The sequence below is a fragment of the Homo sapiens genome, chromosome 12 (genome assembly GCF_000001405.40).
Source record: "Homo sapiens chromosome 12, GRCh38.p14 Primary Assembly".
NCBI classification, from domain to species: domain Eukaryota; kingdom Metazoa; phylum Chordata; class Mammalia; order Primates; family Hominidae; genus Homo; species Homo sapiens.
In genome coordinates, this window is record NC_000012.12 from 101,312,671 (window position 1) to 101,329,788 (window position 17,118).

General features: G+C 38.3%; 1 protein-coding gene across 1 annotated transcript in view; it reads left to right on the forward strand.

Annotated features, from left to right (window-relative positions):
* Positions 1-17,118, forward strand: part of UTP20 (UTP20 small subunit processome component) — a 106,514-nt gene that overhangs the window by 32,566 nt on the left and 56,830 nt on the right. Inside the window, exons 22-27 of the mRNA NM_014503.3 lie at positions 4,808-4,993; positions 6,875-6,965; positions 8,182-8,267; positions 8,834-8,959; positions 14,411-14,577; positions 16,571-16,779. Coding sequence (NP_055318.2) covers positions 4,808-4,993; positions 6,875-6,965; positions 8,182-8,267; positions 8,834-8,959; positions 14,411-14,577; positions 16,571-16,779 — 865 coding nt within the window. The remainder of the gene's footprint in view (positions 1-4,807; positions 4,994-6,874; positions 6,966-8,181; positions 8,268-8,833; positions 8,960-14,410; positions 14,578-16,570; positions 16,780-17,118) is intronic.

Below are 17,118 nucleotides of genomic sequence, written 5' to 3' on the forward strand. Positions count from 1 at the left end.
CTCAGGTGATCCACCCACCTCGGCTTCCCAAAGTGCTGGGATTACAGGCGTGAGCCACCACGCCCAGCCTAGGCTGAGTTCTTTATACATCTGTCACGTTTTCAAATCATTGGCACAGCTACAAAGCACTGGCTCTATCAGATAACAACTAAACTAGTTTAGTTCACCATTTGATTTTGATCTAAATCAAAATTTAACCAGCACACCAGTGGTATTAATAAAAAATTCCGGGTTACAGTATAAGAAGGGCCACACTGAGTTTGATTCATGTAGAAAGGCCTTATTATTTCTTGCCCTGTTATTCATTATTTTATTGCCTGCCTGGGGCTTGAAGGTATTTTCCAGTGACCCAACAGCAACACTGCTTGGGGCCTCTTGATGTTTCTGCCTATGATGCTGAGGAATAACAAGAGTTTTCTGGAGCATTGTTTTGTTTTAACTGGATATGCTATGTGAGAGTCTGATTGTATTAAAACTAAAGATGAGGGGTGTGGTGTGCAGAACATTATTAAGTAATACATAAAAAGCATGTTTTCCTATAGTAGTTTCCTGGGAAAATGCTGTAGGGTTAGGTCAAGCAGGCCATAAACCACAACATGCCTGGCTTGTTCAATGAACAGCAAGATCTGAGTGGTTCTAGCAGAATGATCCAGGGAGGACATGGTTGGAGATGAGGGCAGAAAGTCAGCAGGAGATGAAAGTGTGTAGGCCTTTAAGTGATAGGAAGGACTTTGGCTCTTACTTTTGGTGAAATGAGAAGCCATTTGGAGGTTTAAGCAGAAGGCTGACCTGACCTAAGTTTTCTTAAGGATTTTTATGGCTGCTGTGTTGAGAATAGACTGTAGAATGACATTGGTGAGAGTAGAGAGACCAGTCATGAGGAGATTGCAAGTCCAAGCAAGAAGTGATGGCGACTTAACCAAAGTTATAGCAGTGAAGATGGGTATTTTTTGAATGATTTCAATTCGATAAGATAACATTTATGAAAGGTTGCAACTAGATCAGCCTGTGAGATTTGCCAGCAGATCAGATGTGGGACGGGTGTGTGTGGTGGGGAGTGGGACAGGAAGGAGGGAGGGAAGGAATGGGGGAGGGACAGAATCAAGGATGTTCCCTAAGGCTTTGGCCTGAGCAACTAGAAGAAAGTTCTCATTTACTGAGATAGGAGGAATGCAGGAGTTGCAGGTCTGTGGGGGAGAATTAAAAGTTCATTTTTAGATGTTTTAAGTTTAGGACACTGAATAAATAACCAAGTAGAGTTGTCATGTAGAGAGGCATTTAATTTAGAAGTTCAAAGCTCAAGGGAAAGGTTTGATCTGGAGATAACAAATTGGAAATTATCAATATATGGATGGTATTTTAAATGATCAGATACGGAATAAAGTCATCTAGAGTGTGACTGTAGAGAGAAAAGACTTTCAGGGACTGATACCAATATTTAGAAGTTGGGAGATAAGGAACCAGCAAAGGAAGCCAGGAAAGAGTGATAAAAGAAGAAAGACCACTTGCTATCCTGGAAATCAAGTGAAGAGACTAAAGGCGGCAGTAAACAGTTGACTCAGATGTGTCTGAAAAGTCCATCAGGTGAGGAATAAAGTGACCGTTGGCTTTGGAGTGACCTTAGTCAGAGTGACCCACATGAAGGTGACCTTAATGAGTTGTTTTGATTAATCTGATAGGGATGACAGCCTAATTAAAATAAGCTTGGCTGGGTGCAGTGGCTCATGCCTGTAATCCCAGCACTTTGGGAGGCCGAGGCTGGTGGATCACAAGGTCAGGAGATCGAGACCATCCTGGCTAACACGGTGAAACCCTGTCTGTACTAAAAATACAAAAAATTAGCTAGGCGTGGTGGTGGGTGCCTGTAGTCCCAGCTACTCGGGAGGCTGAGGCAGGAGAATGGCGTGAACCCGGGAGGTGGAGGTTGCAGTGAGCCAAAATTGTGTCACTGCACTCCAGCCTGGGCGACAGAGCGAGACTCTGTCTCAAAAAAAAAAAAGAAGCTCAAGAAAGAGGAAAAGAAAAATGAAAACAGCAAGTTTGGACAGTTTTTGTAGTAAAAAAGAAACAGACATAGGGATGTAGGTGGAGGGAAATGCCGGGGCAGAGAGGGAGCTGTTGTCGTTGGGGTTAAGACTTAACAGTGTTGGCTGGGCACAGTGGCTCACACCTATAATCCCAGCACTTTGAGAGGCCTAGGTGGGCAGATCACATGAGGTCAGGAGTTCGAGACCAGCCTAGTGAAATCCCGTCTCTACTAAAAATACAAAAATTAGCTGGGCATGGTGGTGCCTGCCTGTAAGTCCCAGCTATTTGGGAGGCTGAGGCAGGAGAATCACATGAACCCGGAGGCAGAGGTTGCAGTGAGCCGAGATCGTGCCACGGCACTCCAACCTGGGCAACAGAGACAGAACGAGACTTTGTCTCTGCTCCCAAAAAAAGACTTAACTGTGTGTGTATGTGATACCAGTGCAAGTGATCCAGACGGGAGGGGAAAATTGGTAATGCAAGAAAGGATAAAATGGCTAGAACTGGCCAGGCACGGTGGCTCACACCTGTAATCCCAGCACTTTGGGGGGCCGAGGTGGGCAGATCATGAGATCAGGGTTTCAAGATCAGCCTGGCCAATATGGTGAAACCCTGTCTCTACCAAAAATACAAAAATTAGCCGGGCCTGGTGGCATGCACCTGTAGTCCCAGCTACTCAGGAGGCTGAGGCAGAAGAATCGCTTGAACCCAGGAGGCAGAGGTTGCAATGAGCTGAGATTGTGCCACTGCACTCCAGCCTGGGTGACAGAGCGAGATTCCGTCTAAAAAAAAAAAAGGCTAGAACCATGTCTTCAAATAGGTAAGAGGAGATGGATACAGTACATAAATTCAAAGGTTTGCATGGATAATTCATTCTGGCAAGGCACAAGCAAAGATATAGCAGGTCAGTAGATATAGTGGCAGAAAAGCAATGATTTTCTCTTTTTCAAATAATTCTTTGGGCATAAATTTATAGAATAAGAATGATGTTTAGCTTTTTTTGCTTTGTTTTGAGGGTTATATAAAATAACACTTATCAGTTTTTTGAACTGCAAGGGCTGTACATATGCCAGCTGGCATTTATGGTGTTAGTAGCATATAAACTTCATACCATGTTAATTTTCCAAGTTTTTCCCTAAAGAATTAGTTTACCCCACGGCTTAAGGATAAGATCTTAGTCTAATGGTACAAGATGCTGTGGGGTAGAGGTAGAAACAGGAGCCTGTAACAGGGAGTGGGTCTCTGAGTTTAGAAAGATTTAGAGACTAAAGATACACAATTCTAAGGAACGTTTAATACTGGTTGGCATGGATTACCTATAAATAATACATTTATAGATGATCCGAACTAATGGAAAACCCAAATGTCACCTTTAATTCTGACTTTGAAGTATATTACAGGCTTTTTATTTTTTGGCTAGCAATTTATATTTCTAAATATGTTTCAATTAATTTGGTATTAGAACTAATTTGTGAATCCCTTGTAAACATTCTCTGAGACGAACCAAACCAGGAACAAGAACGAATGACTAACAATGGCAACAGCATCCCAATAAAAGGTGACATTTAGTGAGTACTCACTGTGTGCTGGACACTCTTATGGATGCTTTGTGTGAATTGTTTTATTTAATAAATGAATGAGTGAACATGCTGTTCACGGAGATAAAGGTTACAGTATGTAATGTGTGGTTAATTGAATGTTGTAAGTATAATAGGTATGATATTAAGTGGATGATGGTGCAGTTTGTAACTTATAGAAACTTTACTTGTTTCATTCATCCATTTTTTGATTTATTAAGTGCTAGATTCTGCCAGATGAAAATACCAAGTACCACAGTGTCCCAGCCCTCAGATTGTAGTTTAGTGTTATCGATCTGGAGGTTAACTTGGGCTAAGCTAGAGTTTCTTTTAGGAGGGTTGGTAGGGTGCTGTCCTCAAACATGTTATTTTATCAGTGTGTTTTTGAGTGAGGACTTGAAAGGCCATCCAATCAGTTTCCTAGCATCTTTAGCCCAGTGCCCTGCATTCAATAGACAACAAAAGGTTAATTGTTTGGGTGAGTGAATGAAAGTGACATAAACTAATGCATTAAATGACAGACTTCAAGATAATATTCATTAATTGCAACATTGGACTAAAAATAAAGGATGAAATTTAATAAGAACAAAGTGAATACTGTATTAAGCTTAGCTGCACAAGCTTAGTTTAGAGAGATAAAACATAAAGACTCACTGATTTTCATTACATGGACATTCAGTTTCAATCTTTGTCATGTTGTGGCTGCTCAAAAAAGTTCTGGAGATGGTAGTTCCATCTGTCTTATCAATCCATACCTGGAGGACTAAATTTTGTGGTGGTACTATATTTTCAAGAGAACTTTGGCAAAGTAGAATGTATCTGATGGAAAGTGACCAGCACAGTCCTAATGCTATACTTTAATCATTTAATATCATCCATCCCTAACCCCTCATCCCCCAGTGGTGGTTCCAGAGACAGGGAGGCTGATTTCCACTTAGTCCAAAATAGACATTTCAAATATTTTCAACAGTATAACAGTGGAATGGGCTATCTTCTACAGTTAGTGAATCGCTTGTCAAATAGCATACTAAAGAAGGACCAAGTTAGGAAAGAGTAATATTGTGGAAGCTTGCCTAAGGTACCACTATGTCTCTTCAGTGTGTGATTCTGTGAACTGTGGACATCTCTCATGAACAGAATCAGCACCTTTCAGATTGGTGTGCGTTCTTCATCAGTATCCTGTGACTTTCTTTCCACGGTAGCAATGAGTATTACCCAGCAGATCTGCAAGTTGCTCCAACCCAGGATCTACGGAGAAAAGGCAAAGGGATGGTGGCAGAGGAAATCGAAGAGGAACCTGCCGCAGGAGATGATGAAGAGTTGGAGGAAGAGGCAGTGCCCCAAGATGAATCCTCACAGAAGAAAAAGACGAGGAGAGCTGCAGCAAAGTAAGTTCACCATTGCTGAAAGATCACAGATCCACAGTTCTGGGAGGAACAGGAAGAGGTCTCTTACGGCTTTATACAAAATCAACTACTCAGATAATTATTTACGTAAGCGCTACATCTTCCTGGGATTTTCTTTAACAGCCTAAAACTGTCAGGCTTCCAAGTTTTTTGGTTGATTACTTATTAGTTTTTTCTTGGTTAGCTACATAATGTTAGATTGGGGGACTTTTGAGAGTCATCTAATTGTAGCTCCTTTTTATAGATGAGAACTTTGGGACCTGGAGTGTTTGGATATTCTTTTGACCTTTGTCGTGCACTTTCCCAGCGTGAGGGTATTGTGTTTGCATGCTAGGGGAACATGTAATGGAACATCCTTTTTCTTAAAAATAAGCATGTTAGCAATTTTTTTTTCCTTCCACCCACCTTCCCCACCATCCTGTTAGCACTTTTCTCTGCCTTTTAACTTGCCTTCTACTGGTTACTTTTTTCTCATGCTGTTGTTATACTCTCTTTCTTATTCTTTTAGTTGTTCATTTACCTAAATTGTTAGAAACCTAAAAGAAGAAGTGATCATGCTTTTAGAAGTTACTTCAGCTTACTTGATGATTGTCTGAATTGAGTGTCTCAGGTCCACTGGATTGGTGCAAATATTATTTTAACACTTTAGATCTCAATCTGATATGCCCATTTGTTGCGTATTTCCCCTGAGCCATTTATTAGTTCATCCATTCAACAACTGTATTGAGTACCCTTTGCTAAGTGCTGGTGTGCAGAGATAAATTGTACAGAGCCACTGCAATGCAGGAGTCATAGTCAATCCTGCCTGGGTGAAATATTTTTATAGGAGAAATATTTTTAAAGAAGTTATTGGAGCACAGTAAGGAATTCCAGGCGTGGTGGCTCACACCTGTAATCCCAGCACTTTGGGAGGCCGAGGTGGGTGGATCACTTGAGGTTAGGAGTTTGAGACCAGCCTGGCCAACATGGTAAAACGCTGTCTCTACTGAAAATATAAAAATTAGTCAGGCATGGTGGTGCACGCCTGTAATCCCAGCTACTTGGGAGGCTGAGGTAAGAGAATCACTTGAACCCAGGAGGCAGAGGTTGCTGTGAGCCGTGGTTGTGCCACTGCACTCCAGCCTGGGCCACAGATTGAGACTCCATCTTGAAAAAAAAAAAAAAAAAAAGACCCAGGGAAGGCTCTCTGATGCTGAAAGATGAAAGTTTGCCAGACAGCTAGAACCAAGAAAGTCTTGTCCACTAACAGAAATAGTGTATGAAGCACAGGGGCAGGAAAGATTATGGCCAGCCTTCATGTCACTATACAATACTCTCCCCTTATCCATGGTTTCACTTCCCACGATTTCAGTTACCCATGGTCAACCACAGTCTGAAAATATTCAGATATATTTCTTCTTCCTTGTTGGTGAGCAACAGCCATTGGTTGCCTTAACCTGGACCTCTGTTGCCTGACATCTGTATTTACATTATAATAAAGTGAGGGAGAATATATTCTACTACTTTCCTGTCTGCCACATAGAACCTAGACAAGGAATAATTCCAAAAATCATCTGAGTTTAATTTTGGAATATTTTACTAGTTTGGTTACTTTCTAATTTTTGTTCAATTTAAACCATTCTGAGCACACACTGAATGATTTTTTGGTGTGGAGAACCTGAATTTTAGGGACAGGCCTGCCCAAAATATGGGATTTCTGGAGAATAATTTCCTAAATGTAAATAACTAAGCCTTGTTTATATAATAGTGAAACTATAGGCGGGGTGTTTGAAGTTCTAGTCAGAATAAAATTGTAGATGTCAGTTTAAGAAAATGATCTCAATTCTTTAATTCTGTAACACTCTCTGTTTTGTTTTTGTTTAGGCAATTAATTGCTCATTTGCAAGTTTTCTCTAAATTTTCAAATCCACGGGCCTTATATCTGGAATCCAAACTATATGAGTTATATCTTCAGGTCAGTAAAATAAACTCTTGGCATTATAATTCTTTGTGAACTTTTCTCTATCATTTTCTTTGTCAGAGTAGCTTAGATTTTCAATAATTGCTGAATAGGGCCCATGTCTACATTTTAAGTATTAAAGCCTTTTTTTTTTTAATTAATAGACATATTTTCTGTTATCTTGAGAAACAGTTTTAGCACTAACTTAGCTGATTTTGAAGGCATTTTGGGTGACTAAACATTGATTGGCTGTGTCAACAGTGAGAATAGCAAAGCATGAATTATATCATGGAAATTAGCTTTTAGAAGGGAGTAGGGTTTATACAAAAAAACAAGTGACTACTTTTCCCTTCTAGTTTAGTCAGACTTCATAGAGGACTGGGATTTCAGGATCTATTGTAGTCCATTGCAGTCATAATTACGTGGCCCTGAATTTCAGATAAGCTTGCAGAAAAAAATTAATATCAGAAATGAAGTAAGCATTGGATGTAATTCTAAGCCATCTGGGGAAACAAAATTTTCATTTTTCATTTGGATGTTTCTTCTGGCATCTTATTGACTATCATTACCTTCATAGGATAAGAGATTTTCCTTAGTACATGACCAGCCTAGTTGGCTTAAATCCAGATTCACATAGAGAATCGGCCTCACCAGGCTGCACACAGTAGCTCACGCCTGTAATCCTAGCACTTTGGGAGGCCAAGGCGGACAGATCACCTGAGCTCAGGAGTTCGAGACCAGCCTGGGTAACATGGTGAAACTGCGTCTCTACCAAAAACAAAAAAATTAGCCAAGTGTGGTGGTGGGTGCCTGTGGTTCCAGCTTCTCGGGAGGCTGAGGCAGGAGAATCGTTTGAACCCAGGAGGCAGAGGTTGCAGTGAGTCGAGATCGTATCACTGCACTCCAGCCTGGAAAACAGAGCAAGACTCTGTTTGAAAAAAAAAAGAGAAAGAGAGAGAGGATTGGCCTCACCCAAAAGCTGGTAGACCCCAGGGTATGACTGTGGGATGCAGGTGTCAGAGAGTTTTGTTTCCATTTTTACTTTGCATATATTCTGTTCATCTTTTTTTACTTCCAGGAAAATGTGAAGCTGTTGTTAGCAATCAGGTTTAGGTCTTGTGTAAAAATTTAGAATTTTTCAAATCTCATTTAGCAAATAACCACAAGTAAATTGCTATCCTATGGTATATGTATATATGACTTCATTAATTCTGTAAAATACTGTTCTTAGTTGTTGCTACACCAAGATCAAATGGTGCAAAAAATAACCTTGGATTGCATAATGACATATAAACATCCTCATGTCCTCCCTTACAGGTAAGTTACTTGAAGCTTAAAGAACTGTTATTTCTTCAGCTGATTTTTATATTTCTGCCTAAGAGCCTCTTCTAGAATAATTTATTAAAGGCCTAGAAAGTTTCCCTTTTTTCTGAGGTCATCGTATTTCCAAGCAAGAAATGAAAACGAGTAGTATATTTGTTGGGTTGTTCTCCATGATACTAAAATAGAGAATGTTAATTTTAAAACTGTGTTGTAAATATTATGTCATTTTCCTCTTCTTATTAATATAATGCCATAGAATCTTGGTGGTTACTTAGAGAATCAAAGTCACTCTAAGAACTGAGGAAAGCTTTTTGTATCATGCTTTTTTAAACAGCTGAGTTATGGACAGAATCTAATCTTTTCTAATCCGTTATACCTTTTGAAATGTACAAATCTGTCATTTTAGGAGATTTTTTTGAGGATTTTCCTTTATGGATATCAACCATAATATGTACTATATACCTTATTTTAGTTATTACTCTGTGTACATATTTCACTCTTTCATTATTCAAAAGCACTGTTGATAAAGTGGTGATTTGTGCTGTTCTCTGTTTTTAAAGGGAAAACTTACAAAGGTTGCTTGAAGACAGAAGCTTTAAGGAAGAGATAGTGCATTTTAGCATTTCAGAAGATAATGCTGTAGTGAAAACAGCCCACCGAGCAGATCTATTTCCTATTCTGATGAGGTATTTATGCTGTTCAAACACTGATTTTTAAAAAGTTAATAACAAACACAATTGTGAGTACAGTATTATGGTTCTTTCAACAACTGTAATAGAATATTTCATTTTCTATTTTCTTTTGATTGCATTTTCTTTGGAGATGGGGTCTTGCTCTGTCACCCAGGCTGGAGTGCAGTGGCATGATCACAGCTCATTGCAGCCTAGACCTCCCAGGCTCAAGTGATGCTCCCACCTTGGCCTCCCAACGTGCTAAGATTACAAATGTGAGCCATCACCGCCAGCTGCTTTTTTTTTGAATTGTACCTTTGGGAGAAGCCAAATTGGTATAGAGACTAAATTTTGTTCCTAACATAAAGAAAGATCTTTATTTATTTTTTTTTTAGAGGGAGTCTCGCTCTGTCACCCAGGCTGGAGTGCAGTGGTGTGATCTCAGCTCACTGCAACCTCCGCCCTCCCAGGTTCAAGCTATTCTTGTGCCTCAGCCTCCTGAGTAGCTGGGATCACAAGCGTGCGCCACCATGCCTGGCTAATTTTTGTATTTTTAGTAGAGAAAGAGTTTCACCATGTTGGCCAGGCTGGTCTTGAACTCCTGACCTCAGGCGATCCACCCGCCTCTGCCTCCCAAAGTGCTGGGATTACAGGCGTGAGCCACTGCGCCTGGGCCCTAATATAAAGAAGATCTTACCATAGTATTATTGTGACAATAATATAATTAAATTTAATATTTTCCTAAATTTTACTGTTGAGATACAGTAGAAATATTTCACTCTGTTTTCCAAATATCATGTGATATTTAATGATGTTATTATTCCTTTAATTATAAATGGTAGAGCAAAAAGATGATCCATAAATAATACAAAGTTTATATATGCTGGGTATAAAGAAAAATGAAGCTTAAATCTTTCATCTCACCAGCTCTGGAATGATGAGAATTGGAAAGATCATGGGATTGGGATTTAACAGGTTTGCTTTTGGTCCAGCCCCCTACTGTGTAGTTCTATCAGATAGAGAAAGTCTTTTAGATCCACTGGGCTTCTGTTTCCTTAATAGGAGCTGGTTCAGATATGCTCAGGGACTCTGCTAGCACTTATCTAATGGCTCTGTTTAGTTCCATTTGTAGCCAGCATTAAGATTCCATTTATAGCAAGCTTTAAGAACTTTACTATAATAGACATAAAAATATTTGAGGGAGTGAATAAGTGAATATACAAAATTACAGTTATTGGTGGATTACAGAAACAATAAAAATAGAAAGCAGAAATCATCTTATATCCAAACACTCAAAAATAACTATCAACTTTATAATCTCAAAAACAATAGTAAATAGGAAACATCCGCAATACTTGTATATTTTAAATTTCTAAGAGTAAAAAGCAGATGGTTGTATGAAGTCCAGAGTAGTTGAATACAAGCTACCAAAAAACATCTAAATAATACACCCATACAAGTTTTTGAAAGAAAATTGAGATGATATTTTATAAAACGTTTTATAACCTTTTTTCACTTAATATTTTACAAGAATTTTCTTAGATCATGAAATGTTTCAAAATGTGATTCTTCATCATATAGACAAGCTGTCATTTACTTGTGTTGAGCATTTTGCCTGTCTGTAGTTTTTGTTGTTTATTTTGGTTTTTTTGCAAAATAGAAAATCTTACATTGAATACCTATAAATCTTATTCGATTGATGGATTAGAATAGATTCTTGATAGGAAAATTGATGAAAATTTTAAAACTTTTTGGTGTATATTACCAAATTGTTGTTCAGAACTACTTCTTTCCAACCATAAGTTTGAACCACTTTATATTCCTACCAGCAGTAGGATGCCTGTTTCACACCATTCCAACACTAGGGTGTTTGTTGTTATTATTTTTTGATTGTTTTAATTCTTGCTAATTTGTCAGTGATAAATGATATCATGTTGTATGACTTCACATATTTTAGGTTTACTAGTGAAGATGAATTGTTTTAAAAGATTATGGGTCATTTGTGTTTATTTTCTCATGAAATTTTTTTTTAATGTCTGACAACTTGTATTTTCTAAAACCAGGTAAATAATATTCCTCTCTGTTTTCTTCTCATTCTGTTTGTTTTAATTTGATTATTTTATTCATCTGGAATTTATTTTGATGTATGAAATGAAGTAAGGATTAAACCTAATTTCTTTCCAAATAGTGTTACCCAATTGTCGCAATACCATTTCACTTAAAAAATCCAGACTTTCAGCTGGACGCCCCCTGGTGGCTTACGCATGTAATCCCAGCTCTTTGGGAGGCGGAGGTGGATGGATCCCGAGGTCAGGAGTTGGAGACCAGCCTGACCAACATGGTGAAACCCCAACTCTACTAAAAATACCAAAATAAGCTGGGCGTGGTGGCACGTGCCTGTAATCCCAGCGATTTGGGAGGCTGAGGCAGGAGAATCACTTGAACCCGGGAGGTGGAGGTTGCAGTGAGCTGAGATCGCGCCACTGTACTCCAGCCTGGATGACAGAGCGAGACTCTGTCTCAAAAAAATAAAAAAATAAATAAATAAATAATAATAATTTTTTTAAAAAAGTCTAAACTTTCTCTACTGATTTGAGAGCCACATTTATTTATTTATTTATTTATTTATTTATTTATTTCAGAGACGAGGTCTCTCTCTGTCACCCAGGCTGGAAGGCAGTGGTGCCAGCACAGCTCACTGCAGCCTCGATCTCTTGGGCTCGAGCGATCCTCCCGCCTCAGCTCCCCATGTACCTGGGACTACAGGCACGTGCCAAAACGCCCAGTTAATTTTTGTATTTTTTTGTAGAGACGGAGTTTCACCAGCTGAAAATTTTTGTATTTTTTTGTAGAGATGTTGTCCCGGCTGGTCTCAAAACTCCTGAGCTCAGGCTGTCCCCCCACCTTGGCTTCCCAAAGTGCTATGATTACACACATGAGCCACCACGTCCAGCCAGAGTGCCACTTTTAATATGCACTAAATATCCATGTATAATTGACTCTTCAGTTGGCTTTTGCTGGTTTTACATTAATCTGCCTTGTTCCAATTCTGCACTGGTTTGTTTATAATAACAATCACAAATCTCATTAGTCCTTTCTTTCCAAAATATTTTGGTTTTTTCTAGAATCTAGATGAACATTTACTTTGATTTTCCCAAAGTAATTTCCCCTTTTGATTTGAGGAGAAGTTGCATCAGTATTTATATTCATTTATTCAAATCATTCCTTTTTTGTAGTCTTTCAATAAAGTGTTTTCATTTTATAACTACGTTTTGTTCTTGTAGAGGGAATTTTCCATTTTATATTTTTTAGCTTATTTTTGCTACATAACTAATTATATATAAAAGCTATTGATTTTTGTGTTATTTAGCCATCCACATGACAAAACTTTTATTAGCGTTAGTAGTTGTCATTGGGTTTTCTTGTATTTTCTCTATTAAAAAAATCACAAATGGTAATAGCAGTCACAGATTATGTTAGTCCCCTGTTTACAAACCTTTTGACATCTCATTTTACTCAGAATATAATAGAAAGTCCTTACTGCTACCTACAGGGCTTGATATGGTGGCTTCAAATGATATCTATAACCATATTTCTTCCTGTTTACCACCTCTCTCAGAACCCACTTTAAATTCTTTGCACTTGCTCATCCCTCTGCATAGAAGACATGCCAGCTGACATCTCATTCATTTGGTCTCATCTCAAATGTGTCCTTATCAGCGATGCCTTCTTCAAGTAGTTTGAGCCTCTGCTGCTGGCCAAAAGTTTTTTATGCTACTACTACTAAGACATTATCTTTTTCACTGTGTTGACATTTGTACTGACAAGGCAAAAACAATGGTGGGTAAAACTCCTAGTACCCTAGCACATGAATCAAGACGGTGGCACCAAATTCTACTAGTCATTCTTCATTGCCACATACTTGGAGTTATTTAACAAACAAACACACTTGATGAGTCTTGACCCTGAGTACATGTATGATAAAGTGGGAAGAATGCATAAAATACTTTTGCTGTGCATGGGCTGTCTCAATGAATGGCACCCGTGTGAGTATTTGATGTACAAGCTGAACTAGCTACTTTTCTTATTTGTAAGACATATACGCTAGGATTCTTTTCACAGGCATTTTCTTGAACATGAACGCAGTGAGCCTGCCACTTCAAGGAAAACAACTGTCAGCATTTATTTCCAATAACTAAATTCTAGCATTCAAGTGGAAATTAGGATTGGAGAAAACTTTTATCTGGTACTATGAACCTGACATCTTCCCAATGCTTAAAGACTTTTCTGATGAGATGATTAATGATATTAACAAATGTTAATAAACAAATTTCTTTTTTTGGTTTGCAGTGAAATGTGTCAACATTTGACATTTCTGCATAACTTAGTAAACGAATATTTTCCAAGTAACTGATGCATGTAATAGTATCATGTATGGGTAAAAGATTCATTCAAAGTGCAAGATAGATGGATTTTAGTGTAACAGAGTTCATCAAGTTTGTTGAACATATATTAAAATGATTATATTAACTTTTACCAGGAACGATTAATCTGTATTAATCTAGTAGATTTTACTAATGACTCTTTCTTGCATTTCCTGGGGCAATCCTTATTTGATTTCAGTGCAGCACTGGATACTATAGTTACAAATGTTGTATTTTATGTTTGTAAGCAAGATTGGCATGTAGTTTTATTTTCATTAACCCTTCTCAATATCACAATTATGCCACATTAATAAATGAGAAAAGACTGTTTCCCTCTTTCTCTCTGCTATGAAACTTCATAGCATAGAAATTATTTTTTTTCCTTGAAAGTTTAAAAAGCCCACTTGTAAACTGTATTAGCTTTGTGTTTTCCAATAAGTATCGGTCTCTGTGGGTTTTCTTCTCAAGTTCCTTTTATTTATTTATATTTATGTGTTTTCCTGAAAATTAGCTTTTTCATTGAACTGTTTCCAGCTTCCTTATTTTACTTACAATTGTATTCTCTTATTTCCTTTTAATCTATATATTCTCATTTTCATTTTTTCTTCATTAGACTTACCTTTGATTTGCCTACTTTTTCTCCCATAACAAACCACCTTCTGGCCTTTGTCCTTCCTGCTTCCCTTAGCTTTGTTTTTTGTTGTGTTTTGTTTGAATTTTTGAATTTTTTTATAGAGACGTGGTCTCACTAAGTTGCCCAGGCTGGCTTTAAACTCCTGAGCTCAAGTGATCCTCTGGCCTCAGCCCCTCAGGTAGCTGGGACTACAGGCACGTAGCACTGCACCCAGCTCTCTTAGCCTTATTTTGTTGTTGACTTTTTTCATTGTCTGTGTTAAATATCTAATTTCTATTTTCATGTTTCTGTGTTTTATAATATATCCATTTAAATCTATTGAGTTGCTCTTCTAGCCTTTTAGGCAAATAAAACAACTCATATTTTAGAATTAATGTGCAAACAAATAATGTGCTTTTGCCTTTTCAGAATTTTGTATGGGCGAATGAAGAATAAGACTGGGAGTAAAACTCAGGGGAAATCTGCTTCAGGCACCCGCATGGCCATTGTCCTGCGGTTCCTGGCCGGGACCCAACCTGAGGAGATCCAGATATTCTTAGACCTGCTGTTTGAACCTGTGAGGCATTTCAAGAATGGTAACTATCAGCTACCTCTCACTCTAATACCTGTTGTCTGCGGTGGACTTCTCACATCTCAGGCTACATTTCCCATGCTCCTGGGCGTCTTTCTAACAGGGTTGTTCCTCCCAATCTTGATGGCAATCTTTTTGCTGAAGTGCAACTCATTTTAAACTTCAATTAAATTGCGTGAAACTGACTGTTGGCCCTGTGGATTATCGGCACCCTTGTGTTAGAGCCCCTGATGAGAAATGTGTATTTTTATTGCATATTTAGGCCATTTGAAAAATGGTTATTACTTACCCATATAATACAAAGAATAGGTTTCTTCTAAGAAATTCAAAGCACACTGCAAATTAATCTTAATTGTTTGGCATTTATTCATTCCCTGAGTCATTCATCTATTCGGTAATGATTTATTGAATACCTCCTGTGCCCTGGACACTCTGTTAAGTTAAAAATAGAAAAGTACAATCTCTGCCCTCAACCTGATAGTTGAGATGAAATGGATGTAATCGTGTATACATTGAGCTAGAGTGCTCTGTGGTATGTTCTTTGGTATGCAGTGTCAGTAATTATTAATAACAGTAATGACTAACATGTATTGAGTGCTTACTTTATGCCAGATGTTATGACAGACCCATTTACTTATAACTCAGTTGATCCTTCAGACAATCAACCACATGAGCTGTCATTACTTGATTATCCCCATTTTACACATGGGGAAACTTAGGCTTAGAAAGGTATTTCACCCATCGTAACTCAGATGAAAAGTGGTAGAGTTGGGATTCAAACTCAGACCTTTCTGGTTATGAAACCTCTGTTCCAGTCCCCAAATTGCTTTGCTTGAGGTCAAACATAGAGAATTATTTATAGGGTATTCTGTTGCATTTGTTTTTGTATTTTTTCTATGATAATAGGTCCAGCTGTTAACAGGTTTTTCATTCAGTATAATATTGCCCTGTAAAGGAGGTTGGCTCTGATGAATGCCAAAAAAAGTTTCTGTTCAATGTATAACTCCCACTGTAGGAGGTAGGTATAGATGATACTCTTATGGATGGCCCGTTTGGGTGTATGAATCCATAAGCTCATGACCTCACATCAGATGGTTTGAAATAAAGGTCAAGCAATAACAATTCATATCTTTTCAGTAAATTTTGAAATTAATATGGCAGCAGCTGTTTATAAGGGACTCTGATTTTATTTACTAACTAGGATTTACAAGAGAAATAAAACTTGATTCTCAGCCTTCAAGGAACTTGTAATACAGAAAGTTACTTCTAGTAAAACTGCCAAACTCAGTAGAGCTGAATGAAATGGAAAGTAAGAAAAGTGTATAGAAAGTTACCAGATGGAGGACCAGGCATAGTGGCTCAGGCCAGTAATCCCAACACTTTGGGAGGCTGAGGTGGGTGGATCACCTGAGGTCAGTAGTTCGAGACCAGCCTGGCCAACATGGTGAAACTCCAACTCTACTAAAAATACAAAAACCAGCCAGGTGTGGTGGTGGGCACCTATAATCCCAGCTACTTGGGAAGCTGAGGCAGGAGAACCGCGTGGACCCGGGAGGCAGAGATTGCAGTGAGCCGAGATCGCCCCAGTGCACTCCAGCCTGGGCGACAGAGTGAGACTCTGTCTCAAAAAAAAAAAAAAAAAATTACCAGATGGAATAAGAAACTATTCATAACTCAGGTTTTGAGGGATAGTGTAAAGAAATTGGATGAGAATTAGGTTTAGAGACTTAGTTCTGTCGCAGATTTCTTACCCTCTTATTCCTTAGTTTCTTCTTCTCTAAAGTGGGGGTAGTTAAACCTGTCTTATGTAGCTCCTTGAGTATTTGGTAAGAGTCAAAAGGAGATAATACATAAGAAAAGTGCATTGTCATCTATAAATTACCATGACAGTAGAAAATACTGTATTATTAAGGGAAATGGAAATAAAACTACAATTATAAATAGTAACAAACTAATATGTTACCTTACATGACCTCTCGTCCTCTTTGTTTCACTAGGAGAGTGCCATTCTGCAGTCATTCAAGCAGTAGAAGACTTGGATTTGTCTAAAGTTCTTCCTTTAGGTCGTCAGCACGGTATCTTAAACAGCCTTGAGATAGTATTGAAAAACATTAGTCATCTGATCAGCGCATACCTGCCGAAGATTTTGCAGATACTGCTCTGTATGACAGCAACCGTATCACACATCCTTGACCAACGAGAAAAGGTTAGATTCACTATAGATGCTTTCAAGTCAAGTGCTTGAACTGATATTTCTTGGATTTTAATTCCAAGAGCCTAGAAGTATAAGGTATCTTCCAACTCTCATTTCAAGTTTGATCCCAGAACAAAGCCCAAAATTGTAAATGATTTAAGTGAAAATAAATTTCACAATATCTGACATGCAGTCAAACATTACTAGGCATACAAAGAAGGAGGAAAATTTTACCTATAATGAGGAGAAAAAGCAATCAATAAAAGCAGATCCAGAAATGACACAGATAATAGAATTAGACAAGGAGGCTGATGCCACCACTTTGGGAGGCCAAGGTGGGAGGATCACTGG